Below are 17,204 nucleotides of genomic sequence, written 5' to 3' on the forward strand. Positions count from 1 at the left end.
CTCTGGCTGAGGAATCACACAGAGCTCTGTGAATTTCAGCTCTGCCCCATGTGGGCTTTGTGAGCCAGCAAGTCTGTAGAACGAAGGTGGTTAGAGTGGCCTCACAGGTGATTGTAAAGATGGATGCTATGCAAAGCCCCTTCCTTTCCCCTCATCGCTCTGTGCCTCTTCTCATGCAATTCATTCCGCCTGGACTCTTACTCTCCTCCAATTTCTGACACAGTTCTACCCATCCTTTCAGGGCCACCACCCCGCAAAGGTGCTCCTTCCTCCACACAGATGTCCCACATCTCGAGCTCCACACTGTGCACGGCAGCCTGAACCCCTCCTGGTCATCCCTCCTGGTCACCCTATTGAACTCTTTTCAGATGTCCCCGCTCTTTTCCTAGAACCCCTGGCATGCCTTCTTTGGCTCCTCCTGGTCGTCTGCCTCCACTCTGTGCTCTGATTGCCTTCTGACCATTCTTTTGGGTAGGACTAGGGTCTGCCCCATGTGTCTATCCTTGTCGCACCTGACTCCTTCAACAGAGGGGGCTGTCAGCGTCAACTACAGGTGCTTTCACAAGAAGTTGGCTAAACCTGTGACGGAGCCTCGCGTTCCATATTCTGGCTGTCTTGCATAAAAGTCTTCTAGCAATCTTTCCATGTTATGGGCTGTGAAGAAACTTTATATTTCAAAGAGGCAAGAGACCACTCACCTGTGACTAGAAAGCAACTTTAAGAGTTGAAATTTCTTTCCAAGTCCCTTCTTGAAATGTGTGTGAAATGTACATATCTAGCTATGAGGATAAACCAGCTGAGTGTCTGCACACACAAACTGTGCAAGGAAGCTGTGTTAAGTGTGTGAAACTCACCTCCTGTGTGAACCTGAAGCAGTAATTATTTCTGGATGAAATAATTACTTCATTGCCTTCGATATTGATTTTATAGGCTTTGTGGGTGTCTAATCCAGAGGGTGGGCTTGCTCTGCCAGCCTGTGATCAAAGGCTCAGAGCGCTTTCCAAAGGTTTTACAGATGCTGGGTCCAGGAATCAAACTCAGGCCGAGCTTGCGGCAGAGAAGCTTGGTCCAAGTGGCACTGAGTGGGTGGTTAACGGAAGTGAGTGCCCTAGGTTGGTGAAGAGAATATGTCAGTATATTTCAGAGGCCCTGGGTTTATAAGCAAGCAGTTTATAAGCACCTACAGGAGGTGAACTTTGACTGTTACCACGAAGGTAGTTATGAACTTTAGTTCAGGGCTAAATCAGGGAGAAAGTAATCCTATAGAACTTCTGTTTAACAAAAGAAATTAAACTTTTTATACTCTACCTGTTCATTAGAAAAACAACTGCAGTCCTCCTTCCTCCAAAGAAAACAAGGATAATCAAATCAGAAAATGGGTATATGATGACTGATTTGATCAACTTTGAATTTACATGGTAACAAACTGCCTTTGGGAGAACTGGTATGACGGGATAAGTTAAACGTTTCCATTTAAAGAGAGTGTATGCTGATAGATACAGATCCTTTGTGTGGTTTTGGCAGTACTGGAGCCCTGGTTTTAATAGATTGTTTTTCCAAAATCTCTTACTGCAAAATCATAGTAGTTCTTGCTGGGGTGGGTGGTTGGGGGCAGAGTCTTTTTTTTTTTTTGATGAGTTATTTAAAAAAATATGCCTTTGAAGAACTGTACAATGTGATGTACCTATTGTCTGTATTATTTTGAATGTTCATGAGAGCTTCTTAAAGCATTTTAAGGTTGAAAATTTCATAGACTTTAAAAGATTTATAACATATATTTTATTTACTGCTATATTAGATGGGTTTATTACCAGTAATAAAGAGGTATATCTAATATTTACTCTGTGGTTCTACAGCTGTTTATTCTGTTGCGATTGCCAGAATTCTTGTGTATTGATAAGCGCTCTTTCTGGACAGTTGTCTGAATTACTGCACCCTTTCCCACTGAAAACACCCCTCCCAGTTCCAGTGCTTCATGGATGAACAAAGCCAGCGAGGACCACTAGAGGTCATTCTTCTGCCTCATCAGGTCTGCAGAAGCTCCCCAGGGCACCGGAGTGTGTATCCAGAGGCTTCTCAGTGTCCACCAGGCAGTCCAGCCAACAGGAAAGCATGCGTAGTGGGTGAACGAGGCTGTCAGAGACTCTCCTGGACTCTCCTTCCCTGGAAGGAGGGTGAACCTAGCAAGCTCCTGGGTAGGTCCATAGAGTCAGTTATGCAAACAATATTTGTCCAGTGGTTGTTTGTGGAAACTCCTGTGCCGGGTGACTGCTAACGTGGGTGATAGTAGGGCTTCAAGGATAAGTAAACATTAGCCTCGCCTTTAATTACTTTCCAAACTTCTAGTGCTGCTGGTCATTTCATGGGCAGGAGCATCACTTCGACCAACATCCTGCTCTGTCTCATGCTTTGGGCTAAGCACTGGGATACAAAATGAAATACACACAGCCCTGACTTCAGGAGTCTCCACATTGTTGGAGAAGATGAACATGTATGCTGATAAAAGTAATACCATGCAGTAATGCACTAGGTAGCACAACTATCATCGTGTGCAATAATGCTCTATGCTAGCAGTATGCATTTGTGTTAGGAATAAGTAACCCAGGCTAGAAAGGGAAAGAAGGAGGGCTTCTTAGAGGAAGTGACAAGATGTCTTGAAGGGTGGGAAAGTAGAGAGGAAGACAAAGAAAGGAGGAAGTTTGTTCAAGACAAGAGGAGACTATGAGCAAAATAGAAGCAGCGAAGCAGCCAGCTGTGTGTGGGGAGACACACCATCCTGATGGGAAGATGGGGAGGCCAGATGGCGGCAGGCTCTGGGAAGTCCCATGTGAAGGGGGACCCAACTCTCTTTTGAAGTGCCTTTGGGGAGTGGCTTGTAGTGGACCACACTGGAGCACAAACACATCCAAGCAACCTCTGGTCACACCCGTCCTCCACCTGCTGCCACCTGCAGACTTCATCTTTAAGGGAAGACTCAGAGCTGGCAGGCCAGGTTGTAAGGATTGTTTGTAACGGTCAGGGGCAGCCTGTGGAAAAAACGTAGGCTTTAAAAAGAGCAGCCTGGGCCGGGCGCGGTGGCTCACGCCTGTAATCCCAGCACTTTGGGAGGCCGAGGCGGGCGGATCACGAGGTCAGGAGATCGAGACCATCCCGGCTAAAACGGTGAAACCCCGTCTCTACTAAAAATACAAAAAATTAGCCGGGTGTGGTGGTGGGCGCCTGTAGTCCCAGCTACTTGGGAGGCTGAGGCAGGAGAATGGCGTGAACCCGGGAGGCGGAGCTTGCAGTGAGCCGAGATCCCGCCACTGCACTCCAGCCTGGGCGACAGAGCGAGACTCCGTCTCAAAAAAAAAAAAAAAAAAAAAAAAAAAAAAAAAAAAAGAGCAGCCTGAGTCTTAGCAATGAAGCTCTATGCCCATTTATGAGTTCCTCAATCTCTCTGAGCATCATTTTCTCATAGTTTTTCTTAAGTGGGGATGATGCCATTTTACTTTTTTGTCCTTGGAAAGATGTAATGAGTGTGTATATACATTTATATACAAGATTTAACTTATGGTAGATGCTGAGTAAAACAGTACATGATGATACTCATCTCCACTAGCTACACACACACACACACACACACACACACACACACACACATATTTTTTGAGACAGGGTCTCACTCTGTCACCAGGCTGGAGCGCAGTGGTGCGATATTGGCTCACTACAGCCTCGACCTCTTTTTTTTTTTTTTTGAGACGGAGTTTCACTCTTGTTGCCCAGGCTGGAGTGCAATGGCCCGATCTCGACTCACCACAACCTCTGCCTCCCGGGTTCAAGCGATTCTCCTGCCTTGGCCTCCCAAGTACCTGGGATTACAGGCTCCTGCCACCACGCCTGGCTAATTTTCGTATTTTTAGTAGAGACGGGGTTTCACCATGTTGGCCAGGCTGGTCTCAAACTCCTGACCTCAGGTGATCCGCCCGCCTCGGCCTCCTGAAGTGTTGGAATTACAGGCGTGAGCCACCGCGCCTGGCCTCACAGTGACTTCCATGTTTCCCTGGCAGGTGATTGGAAGGTTCATGGTATGGTGTCTGACACAGAGGCCGCAGGGAGATGAGCAGATTTCTGGAGAAGGAGGGAGTGAATCGTGAGAGGGTGCATGTGAGAGCCAGCCCTGTGTAGGACTGGAATGTCGAGCAGGATGCTTCAGGGCTCTGCTGAACAGGCTGTCCTCCTGCCCCGACAGGGCCAGGCTCCCGGGGCTCCCTTCCCTGCCAGCAGCTCCTCTGGGACTCAGCACCTCCTCCTGCATTTGCCACGTCTGCTCTGCTGCTGTGACTGCTGACTGATTCTCTGTATATGTCAAGTGCCATCTCTGACATCGGACACCCTTGTTTGGTTGATGTATTGGTTACCTCTTGCTGCACAAATTTAGTGGCTCAGAAAACACACATTTATTATTGTATCTTACAGTTTCTGTGGGTCAGGAATGTGTGTACTGCTTGGCTGGGTCCTCTGCTTAAGGTCTCACAAGGCTGCAGCCAAGGTGTCAGCTGGGCTTTTCTCCTCTGGAGGCTCGGCATGGGAAGAACACACTTGCAAGTTCCCAGAATTCAATTCCTTGCAGCTATAAAAGTGAGTTTTAGGCTGGGTGCGGTGGCTCATGCCTGCAATCCCAGCACTTTGGGAGGCTGAGGTGGGCGGATCACCTGAGGTCAGGGGTTTGAACAAGCCTGGCCAACATGGTGAAACCCCATCTCTACTAAAAATGCAAAAAAATTAGCCAGGCGTGGTGGCAGGCGCCAGCTACTCGGGAGGCTGATGCAGGAGAATCACTTCAACCCGGGAGGCGGAAGTTGCAGTGAGCCAAGATCGTGCCATTGCACTCCAGCCTGGGCAACAGAGCAAGACTGTCTCAAAAAAAAACCAACAAAAAAAGTGAGTTTTAGTTTTTTGTTGGCTGTTAGAGGAGCTGCCCTCAAGTCCCTAGGGCCTCCCATGGTTCCCTGCGCTGTGGCCTTCCCCACGGGTCATTCATGACGTGGCAATTGGCTTCTTCATGGCCAGCAAAATGTAACATAATGTAGTCAAGATGGAGTGCCATCCATCACACTGGCCGTATTCCATTGGTTAGAAGTGAGTCACAGGTCCCGCCCACACTAGAGGGGAGAGAATTGCACAAAGGCAGGGGTGAGTACCAGGAGGTGGGGCTCAGGGGGCTGCCCCAGGCTTTGTTGCCACAGTGGGCTAGTCACCCTCCCATGCAAAGCAGACCCCGAACGCCAGGGTGGCTTCTTTTGGGTCAGGACTCAGTTCTGGGGCTGGGCTGCTGTGGCTAGAAGGGGGTTAGTTTGCCCAGCCTGGAGCATGGCAGCCTCTTCGTGCTACCTGCCTCTGGGCACCTGTGCCAAGGGGTCCCTGGCATTGCAGGCCCAGGGCATCATGTCCTGTTCTTTGGGACCCAGGGGCGAGGGGAATTTGCTTGAGTTCACACCGCAGTAAACATTGTACTGGTAAAAACCTGTACGCTACTCATGAGATTCACTTTTTCTAGGTAAGCGGGTGGTTTGGGTAGTCTAAAGATTGACACTGGCATTCTTTGGATGCTGTCTCAGCTTTTCTCATGTTCCATCTCCTCAGAATGGGTAGTAACACATTTATTGATTTTTTTTTTTTTGAAATGGAGTTTCGCTCTTGTTGCCCGGGCTGGAGTGCAATGGCGCAACTCGGCCCACCACAACCTCCGCCTCCTGGGTTCAAGCGATTCTCCTGCCTCAGTCTCTCAGGTAGCTGGGATTACAGGCGTGCACCACCACACCCAGGTAATTTTGTATTTTTAGTAGAGATGGGGTTTCTCCATGTTGGTCAGGATGGTCTCAAACTCCTGACCTCAGGTGATCCGCCCGCCTCGGCCTCCCAAAGTGCTGGGATTACAGACGTGAGCCACCGCGCCCGGCTGATTTTTCTACACTGATTTTCAACACTTAGAATAAATCAACTTTTCAGTAGCTGTTTTCTCATCTCTGTTTAAAATACTCAGCATTCCCCATTTTCTGAACTTACAAAAAGTTTTGACATAAATAATTAACAGTTTAACAAAAATCTTTAACACTGAATATGAGAACTTTGCCTTTCGAATTTAAAGAAAAAAGTCACTTGGCTTTTTTGTTTTCTTTTTTTTTTTTTTTGAGACAGGGTCTCACTTGTCATCCAGGCTGGAATGTTGTGGTGCCATCATAGCTCACTGCAGCCTCAATCTCCTGGACTCCAGCAATCCTCCTGGCTCTGTCTCCCGAGTAGCTGAGACTACAGGTGTGGCCAGCTAATTGCTTGATTTTTTTTGTACAGATGGGGTCTCGCTATGTTGCTTAGTCTAGTCTCAAACTTCTGGGCTCAAGTGATCCTTCTGCCTCAGCTTCCCAAAGCATTGGGATTATGGGCTGGGCATGGTGGCTCACACCTGTAATCTCATCACTTTGGGAGGCCGAGGTGGGTGGATTGCCTGAGGTCAGGAGTTCGAGACCCGCCTGGCCAACATGGTGAAGCCCCATCTCTACTAAAAATATAAAAATTAGCCAGGCGTGGTGGGGCACCTGTAATCCCAGCTACTATGGAGGCTGAGCCAGGAGAATTGCTTGAACCCGGGAGGCAGAGGCTGCAGTGGGCCAACATCGCGCCACTGCACTCCAGGCGGCCTGGGCAACAGAGCGAGACTCAGTATTTTTTTTTAAAAAAACAAAAACCCACAAAGCATTGGGATTATGGGCGCGAGTCACCGTGCCCGGCCTCACTTGACTTTTCTGTGCTTCACCTTCCTCATCTGTAAAATGAGGGGGGTAGTAAGCCATTCTCTGTTTCTGAGGTGCTGAACTTCTGGGGCTACCCTCTCCCAGGCTTGTGGTTAGGATCAAAGGAGGACAAAGCACAGGTGTTGGCTGCCCAAACACACACCAGGGGTGTAATCACACCACAAAGAGTTCCATTGTGATGCTGCAGCTATTTTAAATAGAATTGCTTCTCTTCTGTCTCAGGCTTATTTGCTTATAATGCTTCATTTGTATATGACTTTTCAGAAACCTGTTCTATAGATTGAGATTCCCACATCAATTGCTAAGCCCTAGCACAGAGGCCTAGCTAGGTCACCAAAAAGGTTTAATGACAAATTCGGGGTCTTTGCATTCCTGACTGTACATTTTTGATGGAATCTCCTCTCCATCATGTCTTTGACTTGTTGCTACTGTTTCAACCAAAACAGTACTGTTTTGAACTGGCTGTTCAGCCAACAGCCAGTACTGTTTCTACTGGCTGGTTTGTTTGTTCGTTTGGTTTTTTGTTTGTTTGTTTTAGATGAAGTCTCTGTCGCCCAGGCTGGAGTGCAGTGGCATGATCCTGGCTCACTGCAACCTCCACCTCCCACGTTCAAGCGATTCTCCTGCCTCAGCCTCCCGACTAGCTGGGATTACAGGTGTGCACCATCATGCCCAGCTAATTTTTGTATTTTTAGTATAGACAGGGTTTCACCATGTTGGCCAGGCTGGTTTCCAACTCCTGGCCTCAAGTGGTCCACCCGCCTCGGCCTCCCAAAGTGCTGGAATTACAGGTGTGAGCCACTGCGCCCTGCCTCTCCTGACTGTTTTTACTCAAATGCCAGGAAGTCATTGGTGCCACAATCTGACTTTCCGTCAGCACTGGCCTGCATGTCCCATTGAATTGGGATAGTGTTCTTCAAAAAATATGGCACGAAATACTAGTTCTTAGAAATGCAAATTGGTTTTTCAGGAAACAAGGGTTTTATGACTGAATGTGCTCATGGAACATTGCATGTTCATGTTAGAGTCCTCCTTTCTGGAGGTTCAAAGCCCTTATTAGGACACTTTATTTTTAATCCAATATTTTCTGGGCTTATTTGAATAGGAAACACTTTTTTTTAAATTAAAAAAGTTGAGAACAAAACACTTATTCATATACTACAGGTCAAAACAATCTTTGGCAAATGCTACACATGTGCACAGATATGGTTTCTTTTGAAAGTTTATGTTAGCTCTGGAAGACCCTAGAGCTCCTTGGCTGCTGCCTGAACCCTGTGACCCGATTCCTTTAAAATTACACTTTTTGGCTGGGCGTGGTGGCTGATGCCTGTAATCTCAGCACTTTGGGAGGCAGAGGTGGGAGGATCACTTGAGCTCAGGAGTTTGAGACCAGCCTAGGCAACATGATGAGACCCTGTCTCTATTAAAAAACAATAACTAGAAAAATTAGACATCTTTTTTTTTTTTTTTTGAGATGGAGTCTTGCTCTGTCGCCCAGGCTGGAGTGCAGTGGCACAATCTCAGCTCACTGCAATCTCTGCCTCCCAGGTTTAAGGAATTCTCAGCTTCAGCCTCCTGAATAGCTGGGATTTCAGGGACGTGCCACCACGCCCAGCTAATTTTTTTGTATTTTTAGTAGAGATGAAGTTTCACCATCTTGGCCAGGCTGGTCTTGAACTCCTGACCTCGTGATCCACCTGCCTCGGCCTCCCAAAGTACTGGGATTACAGGCGTGAGCCACCGCGCTCAGCCGAAAAATTAGCCTTCTTTTTAAAAAGCATGCTGCTTTAATAAACTTATCATTTCCTATGTTTTTTCGTGGTTTGTTTGGAAATTAGCAACTAGCTTTCCTCTTCTGGTTCATCATTGATTAGCCATAAACGGATCCAGAGATTCCTATTGGAACCTGTTTGGGGCCCTCTAGCTCTTCCTCTGCCCACCTACAGGAAGAAGCCTCACAGGTGACTCCACTGTGGACTTGCAGACCCTGGCCCTAAGGGTTCATTCACCATCCCTGATGCTGGGGCGGGGCTGCTCTGAGCTCTGGTTATCTTGTGTACTTGATGACCATGTACAAACTTATGCTCCCCGCCATGATTTCTTTCTAAAGTTATCCGAGAAAGAAATTCTTTTTTTCTTTTCTTTCTTTTCTTTTCTTTTTTTTTTTAGATAGACTTTCGCTCTTGTTGCCCAGGCTGGAGTGCAGTGGTGCGATCTTGGCTCACTGCAACCTCCGCCTTGTGGGTTCAAGCAATTCTCCCGCCTCAGCCTCCCAAGTAGCTGGGATTATAGTAGGCGTGTATCACCACACCCGGCTGATTTTTTTGTATTTTTAGTAGAGATGGAGTTTCACTATGTTGGTCAGACTGGTCTCGAACTCCTGACCTCAGGTGATCCACACACCTCGGCCTCCCAAAGTGCTGGGATTACAGGTATGAGCCATCACGCCCGGATGAGAAGGAAATTCTATCAACGAGGATGTGTGTTAAAAAGTGTCAGAAAACATGAGTTTGAAAAAAGACTTATCACACAGCCAATGCTTTATGTCTCCCTCTTCAGTTTACGTCTGTTTCCTGATAATAATAACAAAACAGTCCTAACAACGTCTGAAGATTGCATTATCTTTTCAGAATCCTTTCACATCCCCTGGCAACCCTAGCTGCTGGACAGGGAGGGTGTCAGCATTGCTTCTTGGTACGTGGGTCCCTGGGCGCAGCGACCTAGCACAGCAGGCGGTGAAGTTAGTTGCGCAGTGAATGGTGCCGGTCTCCGCGTTCTCAGGACTGCTCCGGTTGGGAGATGGAGAGAGGCGAATCAGGACTACGTGGCGCCTCAGGTTCTGGAGGGTTCCTCTACCTCCTCCCTTCCTCCCATTCTCCGCACTTAAAATGAGACACGGATTCCTTCCCGACCACATACGGGGGGCTTCCCCCAGCATGAAACTTTCAGGTGCTTCTTATAGCTCCCACTCCATTTCACTTTTATGTGTAAAGGGTAGTTGCATATAAAAATGACATTTTAATATCGTAAGTCCCCAGCGGCACCAAAGCTCAAGCTGCCCTTTTTGGTAAACACCTAGCTCCGCCTAGTGGCCACGGGAAAGTGCGTTTTCCCGAGAAAACGCTGCGTGGCTGGCCTGCCCCGCTCTCGGCGGAGGGAGCTCTGGTAACGCTTTGTAAACTGACTCGGCGAGGAGAGCACCTGCCTGAATCACTCCCTTGAAAAAGGCCCAAGTGCAGTTGTTTCCTTTAATGACCTGCGCTATTACAGGCTTTGGATTTTGTGTGTGCGCCAAGAAGAAGGGTAAACAACACACAAACTCTTGAAGGGAAGGTTTCCTTCGGAGAGCGGGGCAGACAACATAAGCCGCACTGTTTGTGAGGGCCGGTGGTTTCGCTTTTATGGCATCAATCAGTTTGTATTGTAATTGATAGGAATCCTGTTCCCACACTGAGTTTTGTTTACTGAGAAAAGATTTGGAGAGTAAAGGGAGGCCCCAGCCCTTAGCCGGAATCCCAGCCAACTCTTCCTCCAGATGAAACAGAAGCAGGAGGACCCCACAGCCAGGCGGAGCCACGCCCGCCCCGAGGAGCACCGGGCTCCATCGCCTTCCCCCAGATTGCAGCGGACCTTGATTTCAAGAAACATTCCCGCCGTGTCAACAGCAGCCCTGTGCAGCGGCTGCCCCGGGCCCCACCCGCTGTGAACCGACGCAATGGCCTTCACTTCAAGGACTGCCCTCTCACACCCGAGCAAGCTGACCTCAGAGGTCTGGGGCAGCCGGGCAGGGGACGCACCACTCTCACCCGCGGGCAGTCCTCTGGGTGGGTTCTGACCGTGACCTGTGAGCTGGACCACGGGACACTTTTGGCATATTCTGCTTGGGTGCGTGGCAGGTCGTGGTGACCATCTTGTCTTACGCGTCATTTTGTCCTTCTACATTGTTCCAGCCACGTGTGTCTGACCTAGAGCTGTGGTGTGGGGAGACTGTCTCTGACTGCGGGGGTTGTGGAGTCTGGGAAATGGGCTCACCTTCCAGACCCTGTAATTCAGCTTTGCCTCCAGGAGCTCCGGACGGAGCTGGCAGCAGAAAGCCACTTGCACATAATGAAACGGTGACCATATGCTGCCTAAATCTCCACGCAGGCTTGTCGTAGCAGCTCCTTGTCACCCAGCTAACAGTAGCTGGACTCGCCTTGCCATAGATGTTCACACCTCTCCCCTCCTGTCCTGTGCCTTTCCTTCTGCGCTCCCGAAATCACAGATCCTTGGTCTGTGCGGGGAAAGACATCTTTGGGCTTCTGCTCTTCATGGATGCGGGTGCTGTGTCAGCCTCCCCCGGCCCTCCTTCCCTCCCCAGCCTCCTCCTTCCCCACCTGTATGCGGTGGGTCCCTGGAAGAGCTCCAAAGCACTTTCTTTCATCCCTCGACTGAGGTTTTATTTTTAATTAGAAAGCCAAGCACACTTTTAACAGCCACAGCCAGACTGAGCAAGCTCTTCTGAAGCAGCGCAAAGGTGGAAGCCTGTGCTGCTGATGTGGCTGGGCTCACGGAAGATGACGGGCTTCCTGCCAGCTTGCACTAGCCTTGGAGGAAACCTTTGTTGTGTAGGAGGCAAATCACCCAGGGCAGTGTTTTCCTAACTTCTTCTGTCCTTAAACAACTGACCACAATCTGTGCCTTCCTCAGGCCCAGGCTTTCCCATCTCTGTCCTGAACACTCTTCACTCCACGGGCTTCAAGGTAATTTTTTCTCCCTGGTGACATCGTCGGTGCCGCCTCCTGCCCCCGGCACACTCGTCCACACACAGAACAGCAGCTTGTTTCTCCATCACTGTGTCATTCCCTTTGAGCCATAATCCTTTCCTTCCTGCCCTCCAGCGGCTTCTGGGATGGATTCTCTCTCGCCCGCTGGCTGAGGGCGGCCTCCCACCCGAAAGCACCATAGGAGCTTGGCTGCCCGCAGGGTGACACCGCAGGTGTCCTCACTCTTCCCGTTGCCTGGCCCCTGGTGATGGTCACCGAATCGTGCTGTCCTTTCTTGTGGTCTGTCAAGTGTGCTCCTTCTGGGTGGCCTCCACTGCCCCTTGGTGCCACTGTCTGGCTTGTACAGCATCACGCCTTGGCCACTGCGACCGTCTTTTCCCTGACCTCTCACACTGATGCTCTGGTCTCTGGTCTCTAGGACGGTCTTTCACTCTAATACCAGTGTGAGCTCGCTGCTGCACAGGCCTGGCCATGTCACTCCTCAGCTGACAATCCCTGGAGGGTGGGGGACACCACCGTGACCACACAGCCATTGACGAGTGGGTGTGAGGCTGGGGGGCTGCCAGCCCCTTCTGCAGAGGGCACCTCCTCTGTGTCCCTGGCTGCCATCCGCAGAACATCATTTTGTCTGTGCTCCCGGCTGTCATCTGCACACGCTGTGGTCCCATCGTGTGCCTGTTGCCCTTTTCTGCGTGTTCAGCACTGTGCCTTTGGCCCTGGCTGCACCCTTCCCCACCCTGCCGCCACAGCACACAGCACACTTCCCCCAACTGTGCCCTTCTGCTTCTCCAGGCAAAGCCAGACACTGGTTCCCACCCCGGCACAGTGCTGAAATGCCCGCAGCAGCACTGTGGCCCTTGTAACATGATGGTCAACTCCAGCTCACTCCCCTCCCTGAGTTCCTGGGCAGCCCATGCCTTTTTGCTCAGTGAATGATAATGGAATGGCGCAGAAGCAAGCACAGAGGCAGGAGCAGGGACAGAAATAGCAGCGATGTGAGTAACAGCCTTTTGCATCCTCACAGTGGCCTTGGCCCTGGCTGGTGCTGTCGTCATTTTAGAGGTAAGGAAACTGAGGCCCTGTGAGGTGGGCTGACTTGTTTGAGTTCCCACAGCTGCTGTGTGGCCCCAAAACCTCTGCTTGGAACATTCTGCAGAAAGTGGAGACAGGGCCTGACTGTGCTGGGGTGGGGGCCTGGCAAGGGCCGGAGGGGTGGCCTGAATGCCAGGGCCCAGGAAACCGGCTGGTGAGGAAGCCTCTGAGAGCTGCTGCTGGCTGAGCAGATGTGCAGGGCTGCGAGTGAGCGCAGAGGAGGGCTGCTCTGGCTGGGAGACAGGGCAGGGTGGCCAGAGCCAGGGAGGGTATCCAGATGGATTTCAGAAGCACACCTGGAGGTTTGGAGGGACTTGGAGGTGACTTAATGTAAGGTGGGGAAGGAGAAAGAGGCCTCGGGACATGGGAAGGAGAAAGAGGCCTCGGGACGTCTGGTGCTTCTGACTTGGGGGACCGGGTGGTGGAGTCCCCCTAACAGACATTGGGAAACAGGAGAGATCAGTCCTGCTGGGGTGGTGTGGGGAAGGGAGGAGCCAGCTGTGAGGGGACCACTGTTTTCCTGATGGAGGGATCCGACAGCAGCCGGAGCTGCAGTTGGTGGCAAGTCCCTGGCATGGTACAGCAAGGGCAGTAGGAAAGCTGCAGAGGGGTGGGGTTTGCCGGGCAGGGGTGGGGTTTGTGGGTCACGCAGGTCCCAAGGAGCCCAAGCTCAAGGTCCGCGCCTGCCTGCTCTCCCCACTCACCCTTGCCCATGGGAGCGCTGTCCTTTTCTCTGAAAAAGCCTAAACGCGTTGGCCTTCCTCTTTAGCGAAGTCTTTCCTGCCTCAGCTGAGTCTGTGAGGGGCAGCCCAGCGTCCCCTCTGTGCCAGCTGTCTTCTCCCTGTTCTTGGCCCACCCTTTCTGGGCACAGGCCTCAGCTCCCTCCCCATTCCTAAGCCCCGCTTTCTGTATCTCCACAGAGGCCTTCCTCGGCCCTCCCAGCCTGATGCAGGGCTGCCTTGGTTCCTACTGCCAAGAACCTGCGCTTTGCCACCAGCTCCTCCCCACTCACCAAGGGAAGCAGGTGGGAAGCACCCTCCTTTCTCCTTCTGTAAACCTGGGTTGGCAAACCTTTTCTGTAAAGACCAGATGGCAAATAATTTTGGTGTCACAGGCCCCACTGTCTCTGTTGCAACAGCTCAAAGTGAGAAAGCAGCCCCAGATGATATGTAAAGGAACAAGTGTGACTGTTTCAATAAAACTTTATTTAGAAAAACAAGGGGTGGGCCAGCTTTGGCCCACAGGTTGTAGTTTAATGGCTCTGCTCTAAACCAGTCCTCATCCTCCTGCTGGATAACAACCAAACTTTCTAGAACCAACAGGGCTGGGGGTTGGAAGCAGCAGGTGGAGGTGGGGTGTTGGGGAAGGAAGTGGGAGGGGAGGCCTCCACAGAGAGATGGAGAGCTGTCTGCCCAGTCCTTCTTCTCTTCTCTGGGAGAACCGGGCACGGTGCCCCCTCCAGGTTTAGTTGCCCATGACGCAGAGCCCCATTAGTTCCACATCAGGCCTCCGCTTGCCTATGAACTGAAAATCAGTTTCTCTGGCTCCATGATTCCTGCCCCCTTCCCCTCATATATATATATATACTAGGGAGGCTGCCTCAGCCTCCCCAGTAGCTGGGATTACAGGTTCCCACCACCACGCCCAGCTAATTTTTGTATTTTTAGTAGAGACGGGGTTTCACCACGTTGGCCAGGCTGGTCTTGAACTCCTGACCTCAGGTGATCCGCGCACCTCAGCCTCCCAAAGTGCTGGGATTACAGGCATGAGCCACCGCGCCTGGCTCCCCTTCCCTTCATATTAGTTAAACAAAGCATGAGACAGGAGGTCCCTCATCCTCTTCCTGCACTGGAAAATTAGTCTTCAGTTACCACAGCGGTCTGGAAAGACTTGAATGAACTCCACAGTTTAGTTGTCAGGTGGGGAGTGTCCCTGTGTGTGGGCGCTGGTGGTTCCAAGGTAACTGTCTCCGGCCCCTGTCCCCAGGTGTGCAGTGGAGGTCAAGGCCTGGAGTCCCTCCTTTCCTGGAACTTTGAGCCCCAAACCTGGTGACCCCACGAGCACCTCGCACTTCTTCACTTTTCCTCGGTTTTACATCACATGTGTGTAGCCCCTGTTCTTTCTTCTCTAGGCTACAACTGTACCCGCTGCCACCAAGCTAGACCCTCGGAGGTGACCACTTCCTCTGGGGGTAAAGGGCCCCTCCCAACCCATCACCAAAAAAACTTCCCCATTTACCCCAAGTCTCTCCCCAGTTTACCCTAACATGCGAGTTGAAGTTTTCCCTCCTGTGCGGTGGAGGTAAAGCTTATTTCCCGCTGGCCCTGTGGAAAATGCAGGGAGCAGGGACCATTCCCGAAATCCCCACTCAGCACCAACCACGGAAGGAGCAGCACACACTTACTTCTCTGTGCAGTTGGAAGATGCAAAATGGAAGCTCAGTGTTCGATGGTTCATCCAAGGAGAGGTACAGGGATGGGATTTGAGTCCAGGTCCGGGTGACCCGGGTCCTCTCAGAGGCCTGTCTTCTGGGGTTCCACAGCCTTGCCCCTCTGGAACAGAGAACAGGATGCAGGGGTGGGGGCAGATAAAGCGTTCTGTGCAAGAGACAGGCTTGACAGGCCTGGGGGCGGTCTGCTGAAAGGGACCCCTGGAGCAGCCCAGGGCCGACTGGAGGCCCTTGGGGATGGGGAGGACGTTCACTACCAGAGGGAGAGGCAAGGTGGGGAGGCCGCAGGCCCCTTCTCGGCCCCTCTGTCTGCTGTATCTCCACCCTCTCTCCCTGTGACCAGGCCTGGAAGGGATGGGCTCTGGGCCAAGCCCTGCTCTTGGCACAAACTCTCCACCCCACCCTGGAGGCGCTTGTTAGTGCTTTGCTTAAAAGTAGGCTGAGAAGTCCGAGCAAAGATGGGAAGCTTTGTTTTCAAATATAATGGGAAGGGTGTGTGGAAACAGACCTGGCAAAACAAAGGCAGATTGATGTTTCTGTTTGTGATACCAGTGGAGAGAGGAGGGCACAAGCAGGTATGTTGGGGGCTATGGAGGCCAGGGCATTTGTTTTTTTAAGAGGGGGAGAGGGGAGTGTCTGCAGGAGCCGTTCAAGCGTCTACACCGGCTCTGCTGTGAGGGTGGCTCCTGCCGCACAGCTGTGGGCCTGCGCTTCGCCTCCTCAGAGCCGGGAGGCCAGGAATGGTCCTGCTCACATCTGTATTCCAGCCCTGGAGACTGGGCGTGGCAGGCAGAAGGTGCTGTATTGGAATGCGTAGGGCAGCAGAGGAGAATGGAACAGGTTCTGAACCATGGCGATGACCTCTTGGTTCTCAGGGGAGTCACCCTGGTGTCTGGCCCTGGCATGTCAGCCCTTTACCTACATTATCACTCCACTGGGGCCCACACAACTCCTCCAGGTGGGCCCTATTTATTATTTTCAATTTATAGACAAAGAAACAGAGCCACAGAAAACTAAGTCGCCCAGAGTCGCAGAGGCAGCACAAGGTGAAGCTGGCTGGTGTCTGTCTGAGCGTTGGGCACTGGGTGCGTGACCACACAGCCCAGGTGGACCCCCACCTCCTCTGGCCTGTGATCTCCTCAGTGCTCAGCAAATGATCATCAAATTTGGTAACACCAGCAGGACCAGAAGCGATTCCTACAGCCTTTATTGATCCCATAATAAAGAGGTGTTCGTGTTTCAGACCAATGTGAGTGCTTCCGAGCAGGTCTGTGGAGTTCAAAGCCGACAGGATGTTTAGCCATTTCCTGCACTTCCCTGCCCTGTCATTTACAGCCTCATTAGAGCCCCTGGCTTGCCAAAACACCTCTGTCTGATGCCGCAGCTCTGACGGAACGCCTCGATTTTCCCTTTGCGAGCTTTTGCTTGGGCTGCAGGAGTAGTGGGCGGTGGATGTTTTTGGTGGAACTTTGTGGGCCAACATCAGACACGGCCAAAATGTGGCAGAAAGGGAGGGGCGTGTCGGGGAGGTGTCTCTAGAATCTCAGCTTTTCTGTTCCGGGGCAATGCTGCCTGCACCGCAAACGCTGTATGCTAGAAGCCATCAGGCCTGGGTCCTTGTGGGGTAGTAGTTGTTCACTCCAAGTAACTGAAGGAGAAGGGTTAGGCTTTGGGGCAAATAGGGAATGAATGAGCTTCTGTTCTCTAACCTGACCACATGAGTTGGAGGCTTTGCGCCCGTAAACACACCTTGTGCAGGTAGACGCCTGTCTGCTCACCACACTCGCATGGGAGAGATGCCCTTCTCATGCCCTGGCATCGCTGGATCTTTGCTGCTCGAAGGACACTGCAACTTTGAAGCAGCTCCCCAGTTGCTTCCAGCAGGGATGAAACGAGCCATCAGCAGAGCCTGCACCTTTACCACACCTTGGCAAGGCCCCTGGGAAGGCAGGTCACCATTGAGCAACACCCAGACAGAGTCTAGCATTCATTTCCAGATGCCTCTGGGGCTCAATTGTTTTCTTCCCCTCTCCCCACCCCTCTCTCCCTATAGTTAGATTTTGCAAGATCTGCACAACACGTGTGTGTGTTGATTTCCCTCTC

The 17,204-nt window shown here is 51.3% G+C and overlaps 1 long non-coding RNA gene across 1 annotated transcript, besides 1 other annotated feature; it reads right to left on the bottom strand.

The window, feature by feature from the left end:
- Positions 9,953-10,476: an enhancer, noted in NCBI's record as "H3K4me1 hESC enhancer chr2:121070991-121071514 (GRCh37/hg19 assembly coordinates)". NCBI's record gives its function as "activates a minimal SCP1, AML or CMV promoter by ChIP-STARR-seq in primed H9 embryonic stem cells {active_cell/tissue: H9 hESC(primed)}" and the evidence as "EXISTENCE:reporter gene assay evidence [ECO:0000049][PMID:30033119]".
- Positions 13,841-15,879, bottom strand: LOC105373584 (uncharacterized). The gene is made up of 3 exons (XR_923260.3): positions 15,610-15,879; positions 15,057-15,204; positions 13,841-14,176 (listed from the first exon to the last, which is right to left on the bottom strand). It is a non-coding gene; the product is annotated as an uncharacterized LOC105373584 (long non-coding RNA).
- Positions 15,880-17,204: the final 1,325 nt, after the last annotated feature.

This window comes from Homo sapiens, chromosome 2 (assembly GCF_000001405.40).
Source record: "Homo sapiens chromosome 2, GRCh38.p14 Primary Assembly".
NCBI classification, from domain to species: Eukaryota; Metazoa; Chordata; class Mammalia; order Primates; family Hominidae; genus Homo; species Homo sapiens.